A 20,944-nucleotide genomic window follows, 5' to 3' on the forward strand; every position below is an offset into this window, starting at 1 on the left:
AGTCTCACTGTATAACTTGGCCATGTTTATAGGCTACTGAGACTGCTAATCATCACTTGGGTGTGTGTTCACAAGGCGCAGGCAGCCTGGATTATCCCTCATTACTAATGCTGAAATAAGTATGGCTTTAATCTGAAAAGGAAAAATGTATAAAATTACCCTGGCATCTTTTAGTCATTTTGCTTCATTTCCCCAGAGAACAATTTTCAAGCTGTATACTAGGGCCATAGTTTTGTGGTTTTGGTTGGTAGTCTTCTAGTTATAAATTATGGATCTTTCTCTTCCTTGAACCACTTTCCCCAAATCTACGTTAGATTAAATTTATAACCCCAAACCCATAGAAATTTGTTCTTTTCATATTTTTGGCTGTACAGATGAACATTTATTTTTTCTATTTTAAATCTGAATTAAATGTGTACTGCAAATTATGGTATCTTTCAACTTAATTTCAATTTTTTTCATTGTAAAAAATGAGTAACTGAAATGTAGTTAGAGTCAAATGTGCTAACTCAAATTCTTCATTTGAAACAGTATAATTTAAAATGTCACCCCAGCACTCAACTCTTTCCTTGTGCGCCAGGTATCTTCTGTTTGCCTCCTATGCCCACATTCTGCCCAGTTATTCATCCTAGTTTCTGCCTTGGGAGACTGACCTTGTGCACCCCAAGGAACAAAGGCTTCCTGTTGGATTGATGTATTGGGATATCCTGGCCCTAGATTGGAAGAGAAGTGCGAGTGAGGTCAGGGTGTTCACTTAATCTCCTTTACTGCACTTTGAGGGCTGCTGTGTTCCTGCACCTAACAATGCTGCTGTGCTTCTCCAGGTGACCTTCTCTCTAATATTCTCTTCTGAGTTTCCTCTTCTTATTAAGGCTTGGGTATCAACTGTTTCTGCTTCACTGCAACTAACTCCAAGTTACTCAAGTGTTTCCTTATACCTATACCACACCTTTGTAAATAGTTTATTTGTAAATAAGCATTCCTCAAATTACTCTAATTTGAATGTACAATCTGTTTCCTGTTGGGACCCTGACAGATATACTTTGGAAACAGACATTAACACTCCAGAAGAAAATTTGGCTGCAAATTCTTTGACTAAAACTATTGAAATAAAATATCTTATGAAATAATCTTCTTTAGGTTTGTAATGTATATGAACATTAGCAATCTATAAACAAATATGTATTAGCATTATGGTTGAAATTGGCCCTGAAATGTCTGTAAGTTGTATAACATCCTGGCGTCTCAGTCTCTTTGTCAGTAATATGAGACTGTTAAAGGACTGGATTTATTGCCTCAGACAAGTATCATCATGATTAGTATATATTTGCTAAGCATCCACAAGTTGTAAGATCCTTGTGCTGAGTGCTAAGCATGCATTAAACAAAACAAAACTCACTTGTACTTAGAGGTATTATAGCATAGGTACTGAGATAGGACATGATTACATGGCCTATATGCTTATCAGAAAAAAGATAAATCAGCTAAAATTTACTTTATTTTCAGGAGCTTTTGGTGTTGGGGGGAGGAGGAGGTAAAATAGTTTCTCGAAAAACTGTATGCTCCTATACTAAAAGTTATTCTTCAAAAAGGCCATTATAATGTAAAATTGGGGGTTCTTAATTTTAAAAGTTGGAAAATTGTAACCATGAAAGCTGATGTATATATTTTTCATTGCATAACGATCCCCTCTGAGAATATAAAATATATTTCTATCAAATCCTTTACAAACTGTTAATAATGGCCACATGGTGCTGATGGGACAACCTTCACTGCTACAATCCTTGAATCACTGCCATTTATATATTTTACGAACTCAGCATACTTGGAAAACAACTTGAAATCAATTCTACCAATTAATATATCTTCTAAAAGTTCTGCAACTCTTTGACTTCATCACAATTACCCTCCGGTTCATGTCAATAAATAAAAAGATTACATTTTCAAAATGTCTGTCAGAGATTTTGTTGAAGTAAGAGTTAAGATGATTTGATTCCTATTTGTCCGTGTGTGTTGCGGGGACAGGGAGTGGGGGAGTGGTTAGTGCGGCAGGAGGACTTTGACCACTTTCAAAGGATCCTTAGCCTCCTATCCTTGCCCAGCTTCAGTTTTTCCATTAAAGATAATACTTTTTAGTCATTGCTGTAGTTTGAAATCTCATGGATTCTATTGTTTTCTGACAGAGATTATCTTTTGTGCAAATTCCAGGCAACTGTTATTAAGAGATGATAACAAGCTTTAAAGTAGCTGAAGTTCAGAGTACAGATAACCAAAAAATATAATAGAAAGAAAAAATAAATTTTAAAGATTGTTGCTGAAATCTGAAGAGTGCCTGTTGTAAAAAAAGATCATCGGCCGGGCGCGGTGGCTCACGCCTGTAATCCCAGCACTTTGGGAGGCCGAGGCGGGCGGATCACGAGGTCAGGAGATCGAGACCATCCCGGCTAAAACGGTGAAACCCCGTCTCTACTAAAAATACAAAAAATTAGCCGGGCGTAGTGGCGGGCGCCTGTAGTCCCAGCTACTTGGGAGGCTGAGGCAGGAGAATGGCGTGAACCCGGGAGGCGGAGCTTGCAGTGAGCCGAGATCCTGCCACTGCACTCCAGCCTGGGCGACAGAGCGAGACTCCGTCTCAAAAAAAAAAAAAAAAAAAAAAAAAAAAAGATCATCAACCTAAGAGTTAGGCAGTAGAATTCCAGCAATGATGGAGAAGGAAGCCTGCCACATGTGCCCCAGAGAACAAGGGAATCTCATAAAAAGATGTTCCCAAGAGTGGATCAATGGTATTCTTAGGGCACAAGAGGAGGGAATGAATTAATTCCTTATTTCCGTATTTTCTTCAGTATTTCTTTATTATCTTTGTGGGACACCATAGGTAAAGCATTTAGCTAATTTGCAGAATTTATTGTAGACATAATGCCTCAAAATGAGTAATATTTAGGCAAGGCAGATCAGGCAGGCAAAACATTCCAGGAAAGTGGAGGTTTTTTGGTGTAATTGACCTTAATTAGCAATGAGGTATTTTTCATTATTGTTTCAGTTTACGATTCCTATCTCGGAATCAGAAATTCAACATTTTTTTTTTTTTTTTTTGAGACGGACTCTCACTCTGTCGCCCAGGCTGGAGTGCAGTGGCGTGATCTCGGCTCACTGCAACTTCCGCCTCCCGGGTTCACGCCATTCTCCTGCCTCAGCCTCCTGAGTTGCTGGGACTACAGGCACCTGCCACCGTGCCCGGCTAATTTTTTATACTTTTAGTAGACACAGGGTTTCACCGTGTTAGCCAGGATGGTGTCGATCTACTGACCTCGTGATCCGCCCGCCTCAGCCTCCCAAAGTGCTGGGATTACAGGCGTGAGCCACCGCGCCCAGCCTCAGAAATTCAATTTTTTCTTCTCCTTAAACATTTCTGATTCTCAAGAGGGAATATCTACTCTGAAATATTTATTTATTGGTTTTTGTTTTGAGTTTCTTATATGCCTAAAATTCAGAAAAATGTTCTTTGAAACCAATGAGAACAAAGACACAACATACCAGAATGTCTGGGAAACATTTAAAGCAGTATGTAGAGGGAAATTTGTAGCACTAGATGCCCACAAGAGAAAGCAGGAAAGATCTAAAATCGACACCCTAACATCAAAATTAAAAGAACTAGAGAAGCAAGAGCAAACAAATTCAAAAGCTAGCAGAAGACAAGAAATAACTAAGATCAGAGCAGAACCGAAGGAGATAGAGACAGGAAAAACCCTTCAAAACATCAATGAATCTAGGAGCGGGTTTTTTGGAAAGATCAACAAAATAGATAGACTCACTAGCAAGACTAAAAAAGAAGAAAAGAGAGAAGAATCAAATAGACACAATAAAAAATGATAAAGGGGATATCACCACCGATCCCACAGAAATACAAACTACCGTCAGGGAATACTATAAACACCTCTACGCAAATAAATTAGAAAATCTAGAAGAAATGGATGAATTCCTGGACACATACACCCTTCCAATTCTAAACCAGGAAGAAGTCAAATCCCTGAATAGACCAATAACAGGTTCTGAAATTGAGGCAGTAATTAATAGCCTGCCAACCAGAAAAATTCCAGGACCAGACGGATTCACAGCCGAATTCTACCAGAGTTACGAAGAGGAGCTGGTACCATTCCTTCTGAAACTATTTCAAATAATAGAAAAAGAGGGAATCCTCCCTAACTCATTTTATGAGGCCAGCATCAGCCTGATACCAAAACCTAGCAGAGACACAACAAAAAAAGAAAACTTCAGGCCAATATCCCTGATGAACATCAATGCGAAAATCCTCAATAAAATACTGGCAAACTGATTCCAGCAGCATGTTAAAAAGCTTATCCACCATGATCAAGTCGGCTTCATCCCTAGGATGCAAGGCTGGTTCAACATACCCAAATCAATAAATGTAATCCATCACATAAACAGAACCAGTGACAAAAAACACATGATTATCTAAATAGATGCAGAAAAGGCCTTCGACAAAATTCAACAGCCCTTCATGCTAAAAACTCTCAATAAACTAGGTATCAGTGAAATGTATCTCAAAATAATAAGAGCTATTTATGACAAATCCACAGCCAATATCATACTGAATGGGCAAAAACTGGAAGTATTCCCTTTGAAAACAGGCACAAGACAAGGATGCCCTGCCACACCACTCCTACTCATCATGTATTGGAAGTTCTGGCCTGGGCAATTAGGCGAGAGAAAGAAATAAAGGGTATTCAAATAGGAAAAGAGGAAGTCAAATTGTCTCTGTTTGCAGATGACATGATCGTATATTTAGAAAACCCCATCGTCTCAGCCCAAAATCTCCTTAAACTGATAAGCAACTTCAGCAAAGTCTCAGGATACAAAATCAGTGTGTAAAAATCACAAGCATTTCTATACACCAATAACAGACAAATAGAAAGCCAAATCATGAGTGAACTCCCATTCACAATTGCTACTAAGAGAATAAGATACCTAGGAATACAACTTATAAGGGATGTGAAGGACCTCTTCAAGGAGAACTACAAACCACTATTCAAGGGAATAAGAGAGGACACAAACAAATCGAAAAACGTTCCATGTTCATGGATAGAGAGAATCAATATCGTGAAAATGGCCATACTGCCCAAAGTAATTTATAGATTCAATGCTATCCCCATCAAGTTACCATTGACTTTCTTCACAGAATTGGAAAAAACTACTTTAAACTTCATATGGAACCAAAAAAAGAGCCCGCATAGCCAAGACAATCCTAAGCAAAAAGAACAAAGCTGGAGGCGTCATGCTACCCAATTTAAAACTATATTACAAGGCTACAGTAACCAAAACAGCATGGTACTGGTACCAAAACATATATATAGACCAATGGAACAGAACAGAGGCCTCAGAAATAACACCACACATCTGCAACCATCTGATCTTTGACAAACCTGACACAAACAAGCAATGGAGAAAGGATTCCCTATTTAATAAATGGTGTTGGGAAAACTGGCTAGCCATATGCAGAAAACTGAAACTAGACCCCTTCCTTACACCTTATACAAAAATTAACTCAAGATGGATTAAAGACTTAAACATAAGACCTAAAACCTTAAAAATCCTAGAAGGAAGACAGAGCTCAAGACATCTCTAAAGCCAAATTATGCAACCCTTAGTGCTTCTGGGAACCCTGCTTGTATATGTCTGTAATGTCAAGCCCAAGGATTCCCTGATGACCAGGTAGCCCACAATGTTCCTTGGCTGCTTTGTGTTTCCTCTTTCCTCTGGTTCAGTACAGATCACCTTTGTTTTCGTGAAGCAAAATGGTTCTGAAATAGGGAGGAAGAGAAAAAGCTTCCTTCTTATCCCTTCTCACTTCCACAGTCCCATGGTTTTAGCTTTACTGGCTTCTATGGTCTGAATGTGTTCTCTAAAATTCACATGTTGGAACTTAATTGCCAATTTAATAATATTAATAGGTGGGGCCTTTAGGAGGTGATTAAGTCATGAGGGCACAGCCTTCATGAATGACATTAATGTCCTTATAAAAGGACTTAAGGGACTAGCTAGGTCCTTTTTTTGCCTTTCTATCCCTTCTGCCATGTGAAGGCAGTGTTCAAGGTGCCATCTTGGAAGCAGAGACCAGGCTCTCACCAAACACTGAAACTGCCTTGATCTTGGAATTCCCATCCTCCTGAACTGTGAGAAATAAATTTCTGTTGCTTATAAATTACCTAGTCTCAGATATATTGTTATAGAAGCATGGATGAGCTAAGAAGTTTGTACTGAGAAGTGGAGTGTCACTCTAACAAATACCTAAAAATATGGAAGCAGTTTTGGAGCTGGGTAATGGGTAAGGGTTATCCTGATGAGGGCTTGGAAGAAGAGGGGGGCTGTAGAGAGAGTCTGAATCTTCTTAGAGATTACATACAGAATGATCATAGAAATATGGATAGTAAAGGCAATTATGATGAAGTCTTAGATAGAAATCAGAAAAAAAGTGTTAGAAATTTGAGAGAAGATTATCTTTGTTATAAAGTAGCAAAGAACCTGGCTGTTCTTTATGTCTTATTGTTTTGTGGAAAGCAGAACTTGACAGAAATGAACTAGGATATTTGGCAAAAGAAATTTCTAAGCAAAGCATTCAGGATGTTGCATGGCTTCTCTTGACTGCTTATAGTAGAATGTGAGAAGGAAAAAGTGAATTAAATATGGAATTTATAATTAAAAGAGAAGCAAGTAAAAAGCTGGAGAATTTTCAGCCTGTGAAAAATGAGCAAGTGTGTTTTGGAGAGAACACCAAAGGAGTGGCCATACAAACGTTTGATAAGGAAATTAGTATGCATAGAACTAATCTAGATGCTATTTATCAAGACAGTGGAGGAATGATCCCAAAGACATTTCAGAGATCTCCAAAATTGTCACTCCCATCACAGGTCCAGAGTGCCAGGGCCTTGAGAGAAAAATGGTTCCAAGGGATGGGCCCAAGGCTCCTGTGGGATCTTGGACTCACTTCCCAGGTCTGCCTCAAGTTTCTGCTCCATGCATTCTGTTGCAGCACTCCTTAGCCACCCCAACTATTGCTCAAATAAATCCAGGTGTGGCTGAGGCCACCACGCTGGAGGAAGTGGTAAATCTTGACAGTGTCCCAGTGGTGCCAACTCTATAGGTGCACAGAGTGCATAGGCTATGAAGGCATGTTAACTTCACCTAGATTTCAAGAGATGCCTCAGAGAGCCTCAGAGCCCAGGTACAGAACAGCCACAGGGGTGAGGCCATTGCAGAGAACATCTGATAGGGCAATGTTCAACAAAACCATGGGGTGGTGGCAGCCACAGAGAACCGCAATTATGATAATGCTTAGTGAAGCCATGGATACAGGACCACCCCTTCAATCACAGACCTCCACCAGTGTGCAACATTAGCCTGGGAGAGCCACAGGCATGTGACTCCAACTCAAATGAGAGGTGCCACATCAGCTATGCTCAGCAGAGCTATAAGACCAGGACTGCTGGTTGCCTTGGGGGGCCCAACTCTGCCTCAGTGTGTTCGGCAAGTGGGACATGTAGACAAAGAAGGTTATTCTCAAGCTTCAAAGTTTGATGTTGTTTGCCTTGTGGGGTTTTGGACTTTCTGGGAGCTGTTGCTCTTTTCTTCTTGCCTATTTCTGTCTGTTGGAATGGGAATGTCTATACTATGCCTATCCCACCATTGTATTTTGGAAGCACATAACTTGTTTGATTTCACAGGCTCATAGCTGAAGGGAAAATTTGCCTCAGAATGAATCATACCTTGAGTCTCACCCATATCTGATTTAGGTGATATTTAGATAAGACCCTGGACTTCAGACTTTTGAGTTGGTGATGGGGTGAATTAAGGCTTTTGAAGTTATTATGATGGAATAATTATATTTTACAAATGAGAAGTACATAAACTTTGGGGATCAGAGGTGAAGTGCTGTTGTCTGAATGTGTCCCCTAAAATTCACATGTTGAAAATTAATGGCCAATGCGATAGTATTAAGAGATTGGGCTGTTAGGACATGATTGAGTCATGAGTGCAGAGCCCTCATAAATAAAATTAGAGACTTATGAAAGGGCTGGAGGAAACTAGCTAGGCCCCGTTCCTCTCTTGTTTCCACCATGTGAGGACACAGTGTCCATCACCTCTAGAAGAAACAACAAGGTGCCTTCTTGGAAGAAGAGGCCCTTACCAGACACTGAATCTCCTGGTGCCTTGATCTTGGGCTTCTCAGCCTTCAGAACTGTGAGAAATAAATTTTGTAAATTACCTAGTCTGAAGTATTTTGGGATAGCAGCACAAAAGAACTAAGACATTGGATTAGTACCCAACCATTTTCCCTAGGCTACATTCATGTCAATTTGGCAGGAAGCTGTGTTTAGATAGGCATGCACCCTCCATCCCACTTTTTGATGAGAACTGGCTTTGCCCATAAAACTGTGGTAAAGACAGGGACTTTCTGATGTAGACTCCTTTCCTTGAGGTAAGTTTCATCTTAGAGCTCTTCAAACCTATGTAAACAAGCAGATGTAAATCTATGAATAGAAGTGCACCACTTGGCTCTGCAACAGTCAAATTCCAAAAGCCAATGTATACAGTGAAGAAATGGTGAGCCTCACACCCTCACCCACATAATCTATCTTATTGCAGGAGAAGAGGGGCATCCATTTAGAGCAGAGAAAGTTGAAATACAGTGGTGTGTAAGAAAAACAAGAAACAGTGCAGTGCTTTTCATAGTAAAGTGTATGACAGGGTGAAACTGGACAACTAGGTAGGAACCAGGTGACAGAAGGCCTCCTATAATATGTAAAGCCATCTGAACTTTATTCTTAATACAGAGCCATTAAACAGAGAGTATATAGTCAGATTTATATGTTAGCTAGTCTCTCCAGCTATGAGATTATTGATGTAAGGAGAACATAAATACCACATACTAGTCAGGATACTTTGTAGCACAAAGATATATTCATGACCTTAATTAATGCCATAACAGTTGGGATAGTTTTCCTGGAAATGAAATGAGAGGATTGAGAAATATTTAGTATACAAAACAAGCATCATGTAATGAATGATCAGATGGGTGGGAGAGATGTTAGTGAAGGAAAGAAGTTTAGGATGACTCCTGTGTTCCTGGCCTCTATTAAATATATTTTTATGTTGAGTAGGTCAGGAGAAATTTACATGCTAGTTTTAGCGTCACATCAAATCTTGACAACTTTTGAATTATTTGTTAATAAATCAATTGATTTGAACTGTATTTTTGAGGTGTTTACTTAAGATTGAGTTTGAGGCATATTTCACAGAAAATTTAAATCACTACTATAATAAATTTTTTTTTTTTTTTTTTTTGAGAGAGTCTTGCTCTTTCGCCCAGTCCTGACTGCAGTGGTGCTATCTCAGCAGCTCACTGCAAGCTCCGCCTCCCGGGTTCACGCCATTCTCCTGCCTCAGCCTCCTGAGTAGCTGGGACTACAGGTGCCTGCCACCGCGCCCGGCTAATTTTTTGTATTTTTAGTAGACACGGGGTTTCACTGTGTTAGCCAGGATGGTGTCGATCTCCTGACCTCGTGGTCTGCCCGCCTCAGCCCCCCAAAGTGCTGGGATTACAGGCGTGAGCCACCACTCCCGGCCTAGTATAACAATTCTTCATTGTTATGTTAACCTACAATGTCCTCAAAATAGATAACATTTAATATACTACAAACAATGGATAATAGAAATCATTTATTCTCTCCATATATCCATCTGTCCTAGAAGGCTTAAAATGAGCCCCTCCTTTTTATTAAGGAATTTTTAACATAGGAAAAAATTTCAGAATGCTACCAGACTTGGTTTTCTGGCAGATTCTCCTCAACATAACTGTGGAGATGATGAGACATAAATAATCTGGATAACTGGTTAATTGAGTTAGTTTTTCATTTTCCAAGTAATTTATTAACTATATTTATTGAGATGGAAATACGTCCATGAAAAGGAGGCCCTGGAGAAACTCATTTCATGTATTCCTGGAAAAGAAGATTGTTGAACCCAGCAAATATCTGCTATTTTTTTCTTTTAGATACCAAAATGCATACTTACATCAGCCAAAGACAGAAAATGCTTAGACATTCCACTTGATACCTGTATTTATGTGCTTCAAACTATGCTTCCAGTTTCAATGTTTTAAACTCAATTAGAAATACAATGGGTAAAGTTTATTTCTCATTTCTAATTTGATTTAAGTGTTTGTGGTGATGAAAATGATAATGTTCACCACGGCATTAATTTCAAAGAAAATGACTACTCAAGTTCTTTCTGTGTTTTTCAAAAAGAAAAATGCCATAGATTCACATTACATATTCAGCATAAAGTTCATCCTAAGCCCTGTCATTCATTAAAATACACATCTCACTTTCAAAGTTGCATTTCATGAACAAATTTAACTTGTTTAACAGCATGCCCAATTCTATCCTACACAGTCATTGTATAGTATAGTCAATTTACATTTAAAGATAAATCAGCTTCAAAAGGGTAACTGAAATGTCAATGTCATTAGAGTCAGATGGAAATTGAGGCAATTCAATCAAGGAGAAAGGAGACATTGATCTTGTGGTCACACCATCCCTCATCTCCAGTATCCCTTCTACTCTTGTTCCATTGACTTTCAATAATCAGGTTCCAGAAGCATGAGATGATCTTGACTGAAATAGAGCTAGTTAAATGGGATTGACAGTATTTACTCAGTGCCCATTACAAATACTAGAGAGGAGAAAGTATGAATTTGTTTATTGCAGCAAAAATATTTATTGAACAGGTACTGTATGCAGGAAACTGTGCAAAGTCCTGTGAGTTCACCAGTGATCAAAATGGGTCAGGCTCCTCAAATTGAATAGGTGCATTAGGTTTCAATTAAAAAAAAAAAAAGCTTTGGGAGGCTGAGGTGGGCGGATCAGGAGGTCAGGAAATCGAGACCATCCTGGCCAACATGGTGAAACCACATCTCTAGTAAAAACACAAAAATTAGCCGGGTGTGGTGGCGCATGCCTGTAATCCCAGCTACTTGAGAGGCTGAGGCAGAAGAATCGCTTGAACCAGGGACTTGGAAGTTGGAGTGAGCCAAGATTGTGCCACTGCACTCCAGCCTGGTGACAGAGCAAGGCTCCATGTAAAAAAAAAAAAAAAAAAATACTATTAATGATATACAATAAAGAACTATAAAGAACTATTCTACGGATCAGATCTCGTATAGACTTCTTACCAAACTCCCACACTTATCTATTTCTCATTGCTTCCAAATTGGGCTACATCATGAACCTGAAAGAGCTTCTGGTACCACTGACCATGGAGATACACCTGGCCCCGGGTTTGGAGAGTTGAAACGCTGGCTGCTCCCCATGTCAACAGGATAAGCTAGCAGATCAGCAGTAATGTGTCTGTGCTACAAAGGTGCCTGGTCCTATATCAATCTTCAGAGAAAATGATTTCTGCTTTACTTGGGTATTCCAAATCTCACACAAATTTTTTTCTAATAGTCAGTCATATTCTGGTCACATTCAGCAAAGGGGATTCTGGGAAATGTGGTTCCAGCTTAATGTCTCACTGTACATCGCCACCACAAAGATTACACAGTTTTGAGGAGATATTAATCAAATAAGCATGTAAAAGTGCAACTGGTACAATAATATGCAAAGGTGGCATAAAGTGCCTTAAGGATTTGACTAGTCAGGCAAGTTAAGAAAAAACTTAAGCTTTTATCTGAAGTATAAGAAAGTTTTTATTACCAATCTTAGACATGAAGACGCTGTTTAAAACGTGGAAAGAGCAGGTGCAAATGCCTGATGAGAAGGGCCACAGCTTATGGCTGAATGTATATGTAGAATTTAATACTTTGAAATATTAAGTTATATATGTATATGTGTGTATTCGTGCATATGTATGTGTGAATATATGTGTATATAAAGGTATATATTTTTAACTTCTATTTTAAGTTCAGGGGAACATGTGCAGGTTTGTTTTATAGGTAAACTTGTGTCATGAGGGTTTCTTATACAGATGTTTTCAGCACCCAGGTATTAAGCCTAGTACCCATTAGTTAATTTTTCTTATCCTCTCCCTCCTCCCCCTCCCTCACTTCACCCTCTGATAAGCCCCACTGTGTGTTGTTCCCCTCTGTGTGTCCATGTGTTCTCATCATTTAGCTCCCACTTATAGATGAGAACATGCAGTATTTGGTTTTCTGTTCCTGCATCAGTTTGCTAAGGATAATGGACTCCAGGTCCACCCATGTTTCTGTAAAGGTCATGATCTCATTATTTTTGATGGCTGCAAATTATTCCACTGTGTATATGTACCACATTTTCTTTATCCAGTTTAATTTTTGAGACAAGGTCTCACCCTGTCACCCAGGATAGAGTGCTGTGGTGCAATCATGGGTCACTGAAGCCTTGACCATCTGGGTTTAAGCGATCCTCACACTTCAGCCTCCCAGGTAGCAGGGACCATAGGTGTGTGCTAGTTCTATATTTAAATGTAGTGAAATAATATGTAAATATTGTTACAGATGGTTGTGCATGAGATATAATTATAGGTAAATATTTACTGAAAGATTAAAACCATTCAATTTATAGATAAATAGGTATATAGTACATACAATGAAAAATCCCAATCGACTAATTTTCAAAATGTATGAGTTATTTTAAATCAAGGTTATTTGTCAGTTATTAATCTGTGGAAGCTTAAGATCAATACGCTAAGAAAAATAAGTTCATCAGAACAAAACAAATATGTAATTATGAAATATCTAAATTCACCCATGTATAAAAATGTATTTATTGTACGCCTAGAGACTGTCAGATTATCATAGCAAGAGCTGAGAATGCATACACACACACACACACACACCAATCCACTCAGGGAGTTTGCAGCAGAAAGAGGCATGGAAATCAACAATGATAGTACAATGAAGATCTGCTTAAAAGATTATTAATGTAGGAGTGGGTTTATCAGCAGGGGAATAATATTAGGAGTGATTTAACAAATGAATCATTTAGTAACTGAGCATTCATTGAAGAAGCTTCCATGCAAAATTAACTCTACTGAAAAGTGAGCACGTTTATTTAGCCCAAATAACTCTGTGCTGCCTGATATTGTTTAAATACAAAAAATGAATGACAATATGCATGTTGAGGGAGAGGATAAAGATCAAATAGGAAAAGCTTCTACATGAGTTAAGAAATTAAAACTTTATTTTAGCTTTTAGTCCTCAGAACTGTGAGAGAATAAATTCCTGTTGTTTAAGCTCAAAAACAAACAAATAAACACCAAAAACCTCTATCTTAGAGCTAAGGGTGGCTAATAGATTTTGACCAGCAAAGATAAATCAGTAAATTTGCATCTTAAAAAACTAATTTGTAATATTGAAATCCAATTGAAGGTAGACAATACCAATACAGCAATATTTTTACCATTTTATTTTATTTCTTACTAATCCTATAAAAAGATGAGACTGAATTCTTGCCTCCCTGTCTCCTGAATTCTTCCAATCAACTCAATTAGGGCCATTTAGTCTTACTTATAGGTACTGACATCTCTCAGATTTATAGTATATAGCTCTAGTCTTCTTCATTTATTCAACTCAATAATGTATATAATAAATTTACTCAATCCAGTATTAAGTGCAGCAAACATCTCAGAAGTGAAAACTGAAAGAAGGAGCGGGAGGAGGAGAAATAATTAGAAGAAATAACAAGGTGTAAAATGAAGTGGGAAAAATGACTTACTCATGGGATGTACACCAGGATGAACCTTAAGGTAAACAATGGTCCTTCGGTGACAAGGATGTGTCAGTGTAGGTTCATCATCCATAATAATTGTTCCACTCTGGTGAAGGATGTTGGTAATGAGGGAGGCTAGGCATGTGTGGGGGCAGGGAGTATATGGGAAATCTCAGTTTGGCTATGAACTTAAAACTGCTCTAAAAAATAAAGTCTATTTTAAAAATACATGACAAATGGGAGAATATTTAGCATGTAATCTGCAGGATGGGAAGGAGAGATCTGAGAGGAATGTGGAGGAGAGTATCTCAGAAGGAAAAATCACATGCACAAATATATCAGTGCATTCTAGGAATTAGAGGACTGCTGTAGTGCTAGAGGTACAAAGTTAGAAAGGCCAGGCTAGAAGCCATGCTGCAGGGGAAACTGGATTCTATATGCAAGGAGGAGCCATTGAATTATTATATTTTTACATAAATAAAATACAATGGAAGAATTAAAATAAACTTGACTAGTATCTCTGCAACCAAACATCAAATCAGTCTTGTTGGTCATTCGATTTAGACAGTATTCTTATGAGGAGCATGTTTACTCTGTATTTTTTTCTTCAGCTCAAGAGATTGTACTTTTGCATTTTTCTTCATAATCATTATCCTATTCATAGAATCAGTAATTAGTGAAATTAGTGAAAACAACATTAGTAATTAGTGAAAAACAAGAGTTTGGGACACTTTTATTCATTTAATCTTTGTTAATTGAGAACATACTATTTTTATAGTATGGGGTACTACTGTGGAAGAACATATATGCTGGATTCTGGGGATAAAGCATTAAACAAGATAGAAACCACCCTGGTTCCCGCTGAGCATACAGCCAAGTGATGAATGACAAAACATAGTAAATCTGGGTTTTCCTTTTTCGAGCTATGGATGGCTTTGGCCAAGTTATCTATAGTTCATTTCATGAACAAACATGGTTATTATAATATTTAACTCCTAAAGGTATAGAGAATTGGAGTAGTATACATAAAGTACCTAATGGAACATCTGAAACACAATATTCATTAAGTAAATATTTTATTAAAAGTTGATATTACTATGATTAAATACTTGTCTCATATGAGTAGTGAATATATAGATTTTAGCCATAATATTGAGTGACTTTGATATTTTAATTACCTTAACAATTAAGGGGCCTTTGTGCATGCATGGGTGTGTGTGTGTGTTTGTATGTGTGAGAGAGAGATTGGGAAAAAGAGGAGAGACTACCTCTTTAGTTTGCGTCACGAACTAAAATAGTCCCTATTCTCAAGTGGATAAGAAAAGAGGCTCTGGTTTTAAACCTTCCAAGTTTGAATCCTGACTTCTACCATTTATGGCTATGAGAACCTGTTCAAATTGTTTAGCTTTTCTGTGGTCCAGTCATATCACATGTAGAAAAATGTTGCTAATAGCTATCTCTTAGGGTTTCTATGAGAATTGCATTAGGTAATACATGTACAGTGTTTAGAACACTGCCTGATATATAAGTATTCAATTCTATTACTGATTCTTATTCTTACCTCTCTGGAGTTTCGGTCCTGATTTGTTTTCCTAATTATTATCTGGGACCTGTAGAAATACAAAAATTGGATGGGTTTTTATGTATAATGTTGACATTTTCAAAAAATGTTAACAAAAGACAAATTATGTTATTGCTATGGGGAAAATAACTACCAGGACTTGTTTTATACCTGTCTAATCAACCAATGTTCCATAGCCAAGGTAACAAGTAAAACTCAGAACTAGATTTAAATCTGTCCAATTGAGCAATGACAATTTGCTTCAGTGAACATGTCCCTGAAGACCAGTCAGTTAGTACTAACTCATGCCTTGAAAGTCACCCCACTGACAGTCAACTCACTCCAGCGAACATGTTTCTAAGGCTGACATGGAACAACTATTTTGAAAAATAATAAACTAGGCTTCTAAGATTGACAACCCACCCTGCCTCTACAATTAACACAAAATATGATTCTACAGCTGATATCAATCCATTCTTGCTCCCATATAAACACAACCTGAATCAATCTCAAGCTCTTCCCCAGCACCCTATGTAAAATTAGTAGTTTGCAATGCTCAGTGAGGCTTCATCTGATCAACGTAGCTCTTTTTTTTTTTTTCACTTCCATCAGCAATAAATCAAGCTTATTGATTTGAGTTTTGAATAGAGGTCTCTCTTTTTTTTTTTTTAACAATGTAGTTTTCTCCAACAGGGTAATATAGTATCTTTGACCAATAAATCTACCCAGCCCTTTTGTACGCCAGTTTCCTTTGTCCTTCAGATTTCCTGCCAGGTGCAACTGGTTCAACATGATCTCAACTCTAACTTATTTCATTGAGCTCTTATTACAAAATTTATGTTGTTATAATTTGTTGCTAAGTAGTATTAGTATATTAGATGCTTTGGTTTGGTGGTGCACTATTTGTTAAATATTTTTGCCACTAACATGCTGACTTCAGCGACTTGGCTTGCTTTTTATTTTTGTCTTTCTCTTAGTGAGAAAGATTTGTGTCATGGCTTTATATGGATTGTCTTGTTTCTGGTGACTTGAGTCAGGGAGTGGTTCCTAGAAAATGGATGGAGGTATCAGTTGGATAAACCTCCAATGTAGTCCAAACCAGCCTAAAAGTATCACTGTTGCAGCCCCATTATGCTACAGGTAATTTATACTGAGATGTTTGATCAAATTGTGTCTTGGCTCACCTCCAAAATCATGAAGAGACTTGCTGTCATGTCAATTTGTGTACAAGGTCACTCTACTTCACATTTCCAGGCCAGTGATTATTGGGTCATTGTTGCACCACCTCTTCCTGGCCTTGGCTTGGGTTGGGTAATGCAGAACATCATTTATAAAAACACAGATGTAACAGATTTTAGAGGTTCTTTTTTGTTTATTATGGGTTTGTCCAAATCAAAACTGCAACATCTTCCTGGCAAAATCTGTGAATCTTTCATAAATTTGTATTATATTCACAGCTGTTGTGTCTTCTTTGGTGAATGTTTTAAAAAATTTTTAATTTATCATTTTGAATAATTTTAATATTTCATAATTACATTTTTAAGAAATTCAGAAAAAGAAAAAATTAATAATATTAAATATGCAATTATCAGTATTTTAATTAATATCCAAAGCCACAAAACCAAACATTGACTCCAGAATAGCTTGTTTAAAAAACTCTCTAGTTCATTCCTGCTCAAATCTTCTGAAATATACTTTCCTTGAATTTCTTCTCTATGCTTACATCCTTTTGCTTCTTATTCTAACTGTTCACATGTGCTATCTTTTCCTCAGCATTTTTTTCTCAGAAAAAGAACAATTGCATTGCACAATATGCCCTTGAAATTATAAGACCAGAAGGCTCATCTATAGAAGCTGAATATAAACTTTGATCTAGAACCAATTTGGAGTTCATAAATTAAGTTTTCCTTTTGAACCTCAGGAATTTAGGCAGAAATTTTCTGAAAAAAAAAAATCAGAATTGCTTTAGGTGCCACCAGCTATGTATCAGCAAGTTAACAGTCATCCTCTCAGATAAGGAAATATAATAAGAATTAATAAGATGAAAAACACTAGGAAGAAATTTTAGTAACACAGCTGTGCATGATTTTAAAAATATTCTTGAAAGAGCAAAAAAAAAATATTTAAAATATATTTCATATATAAGGCCATTTCAGAATTCTCTCCCTTAAAGTAAATTGGACAAAGATCCAAAGTTATAAACAAAATAGAGCTGAATCAGAGGAGATTTTACAATTAGATGATACATTTTCAGATAATATTCTGAAGTAGATAGAAGAAACAAAGTAAATGGAGGGTTTTTTTTCTGTTTTCTTTTTTTTTTAATAACAAGGTTTACATCTAAAATTATAGTAGGAAACTGCTAGATGCACTCCAGCATTTGCTGACATTTTCAATGAGCCACAGGTAAAGTAAACAAGCTAAAAATTAAAATCAATTATGGCTACCAGCTAGATAGAACCACCAGCTCCCAAAACAAAAATAAAACCAAAAGATTCTCTGATCCTTAGAATTGAGAACCTAGGAAGAGACACAAGTAGAAATGACAAAAGAAGTACTGTTAGAAGAAAGAACGTTCCACACTTGCTAAGAAGTGGTGGGTGACTATCCAAACGCTGCCCTATGATTTCACTCCAAGGGAGAGACTAGTGTTCCACAATTCTGTTTTCTTCTAAACTCCCAAGGGGAAATATCTGTAAATTGAGATGGACATTAATACATCTTTCTCATTAATATGGGTGTTAAATATTTTATTAATCCAACTACCACAGAACATTAGAGTCCTCAAAACTAAACTTTCAAATTATCTAAAACTCATGAAATTAAGCAAATTGACTTTGGATGGCTCATAAACAACCGTAATAGTAATGGTGTAGTAATAATAAAATGGAACAAAATATAGTTTTGCTTAAAGTAAAAATGTATGCTTGGCCCAGAAGATAGTAAAAGAAAGCTTTGAATGTGTAGAGTAACAGGTAAAACCCTTCAGGAGAAGTAAACATTCTTTGCCTTGGTTTACATAAACCATTCAAATACTGAAAATTTTTACAATTCTAAATCCTTTTCTGCCAACATACAATTATTACTTTGAGATTGCTATTATGAGAACAACACAATTTTTTCCCTTACACAAACCCTGCAAATGTAATAAATAGGTAGGAGTCTACTTTTCAAATAGAATTACCAGATAAAATTTACTGCACAGGAGTTATTTTTAGAAGTTTCATATTATAGCTGATCTGGACATCAGTATACCTACACTATGTATAATTCAAGAAGCAACCAAAGAAGGGGCTCTGATCTCAGAGGCTCCACAGACAAAAGACAGAAAAAGTGGGAAACAGTTTATAAGAATCCAGATAAGTCTTTTCAGATTATTATAAGCTTTAATTTTTCCCAAGTTTTTTTACCTGATATTCCTACAATAGCCTAAGATATTATATACATGCAAAAAGCAAAGGCATATACTGATGATATCCTATATCTTGATGCAATATCCAAGGTTTTTTATTTGCCTCAGAATATCTGTAGCCTGAACTAATTGAAGCAGTTAAAACTACTTTTAAATATGAAGGTTCTACATGTAGTACAATCTCAATTGCTAGATGAAAGCACCAGATTAGTTCATTATTGATTATGAAAGCTTATAACTTTCCATTCATCTTAGCATCAACGTAACTTTTTAAATAAAAAAACTTTATTATTTTAATCAATGAAAAAGAAGCTCACAATTGTGTTTATCAAGTTTAAATGTCCATGTATAGAACAGATATTTTGGATAATCCTGTCTTCATCAGTTCCAGCTGCTATAACAAATTACCATAGACTGGATGGCTCATAAACAATGAAATTTATTTCTCAGAGTTCTGGAGGGTGGAAGTGCCATGATCAGGTGCCAGCATGGTCAAGTTCTGGTGAGGGTGATCTTCTGGGCTGCAGAGTACCCACTTCTTGTAGTGTCCTCATATCGTAGAAAAAGGGTGAGAGGCTCATTGGGGTCTCTCTTATAAGGGCATTAATCCCATTCATGAAGGTTCTACACTCATGACCCCTCAAAGGTCCCACCTCCTAATGCCTATGTTGAAATACGGGTGGACAAAATATATGAAACAACCATATTTTGATAATGGACAATATGAAGAGCAGGACTGTTATCCTTGAGAAAAGGGGAAGAAAAAAAGAGAGCCATGTTTTCCTTATATTTCCCCCTGGGGGCACCTATAACCATATTGTAGTGGAGGGCAAACCAAGCAGAGCACGTCACTCTCAGTGAGTTGAGGAGACAGTGACTGGCATTCAGGGAGGTTGCATTGGTGGGTGTTGCTAGGAGAGAGTAACACAGAGTAGGTGATTATGGAAAAGAGAGTTCAAAAAATCTGTAAGTTTCTCCTTGAAGCCTTGGCTAAATTCTAAGCAGCGTTTTGTCATATGAGACACCATGAAGCCAGGCAAAAAAACAACTAGCAGGGAAAGAACAACTACCAGAAAACTCTAAGTGCAATAATTACAATGGCTTTCAAAGGACTGAGTGATTATTGAGTTGAGTAGAAAAAGCTAGTTAAATACACAGGGTGTTCAGCAGACAGCCCCCAATGGTTACAATTTGATGCTAAATTAGTTCTGGAGTAAAGGCTGTTCCAGATATGCCCTAATAAAGCCTAACATTGAATCTTAGCCTCAAGCAGATCCACAAGTAACAAAACTGCCTGTAATATAAGGTTGAAGGAGAAGCATATCATACAAAAACTCTAATCTACAAAAGGAAATAAAAATATCCAAATGATAAATACAGCAAGGGTTTTATTTTAAAATTGTTAAAAAACAATTGACTCCATAAAGCAAAAATGAATGTAATGTATTGTGGATTTTATAAATTATATAGCTATAAAGGTTTATGACAACATTAGCATAAAGGAAAGAAATGATTTATGAATACTGTTGGAAGTTTCCACATTATAGATGAAAGAATAAAACATAATTTGAAGATGGACTACCAAGTTAAAGATTAATATTATAAATTCTAGAGTAATCACTAAGATAATAAAACATCGTAGCTAATGACTCAATAGAGAAGATAAAAGAGAAAACTAAAAACACTCAATCCGAAAGTACTCAGAAAAATAGAAAAAGAAAAAGAAAAAAATAATGTATATGATAAGTGAAAAAGCAGCAGCAAAATAGTATGGTTAATCCCAATCATATTAGTAATTATATTAAGCATAAATGGTCTTAATTCTGAAATTATAAGGCAGAAATTTTTAGCTGGTTATAAAAATACAAGATATAACTATACACCATCTATAAGAAACATATTTGAAATATTGTTTAAAGACTCAGATAGGTTAAAAGTAAAAGCCTGGTTAAAAAAAAAAAGAGACATACATACACTAGACATACAAAGGTGAAGTAGTTATATTATATCCGACACTGTGGGTTTCAGGATAAGAAGTACCTGACACAAAGAGATATATTTCATGATGATAAAAAGTTCAGTTCATCAAGACAAACCAACAGTCTTAAAAAGACATGAACCCAATAGCAGAGCTTCAAAATACATGAAAGAAAAAATGTATTTAGACATAAATGAAAGGGCATATAGAAGGATCCACAATTATGGTTG

The 20,944-nt window shown here is 36.8% G+C and overlaps 2 long non-coding RNA genes across 4 annotated transcripts in view; one reads left to right on the top strand and one right to left on the bottom strand.

Annotated features, from left to right (window-relative positions):
- The window catches only part of LOC105377407 (uncharacterized), a 218,744-nt gene extending 203,231 nt beyond the window's left edge, over nt 1–15,513 (bottom strand). Inside the window, exon 1 of the long non-coding RNA XR_939176.3 lies at nt 15,325–15,513. This is a non-coding gene — a long non-coding RNA (uncharacterized LOC105377407). The remainder of the gene's footprint in view (nt 1–15,324) is intronic.
- Nucleotides 1–20,944, top strand: part of LOC105377406 (uncharacterized) — a 129,167-nt gene that overhangs the window by 52,115 nt on the left and 56,108 nt on the right. The window lies entirely within an intron of this gene.

This window comes from Homo sapiens, chromosome 4 (assembly GCF_000001405.40).
Source record: "Homo sapiens chromosome 4, GRCh38.p14 Primary Assembly".
Lineage (NCBI taxonomy): Eukaryota > Metazoa > Chordata > Mammalia > Primates > Hominidae > Homo > Homo sapiens.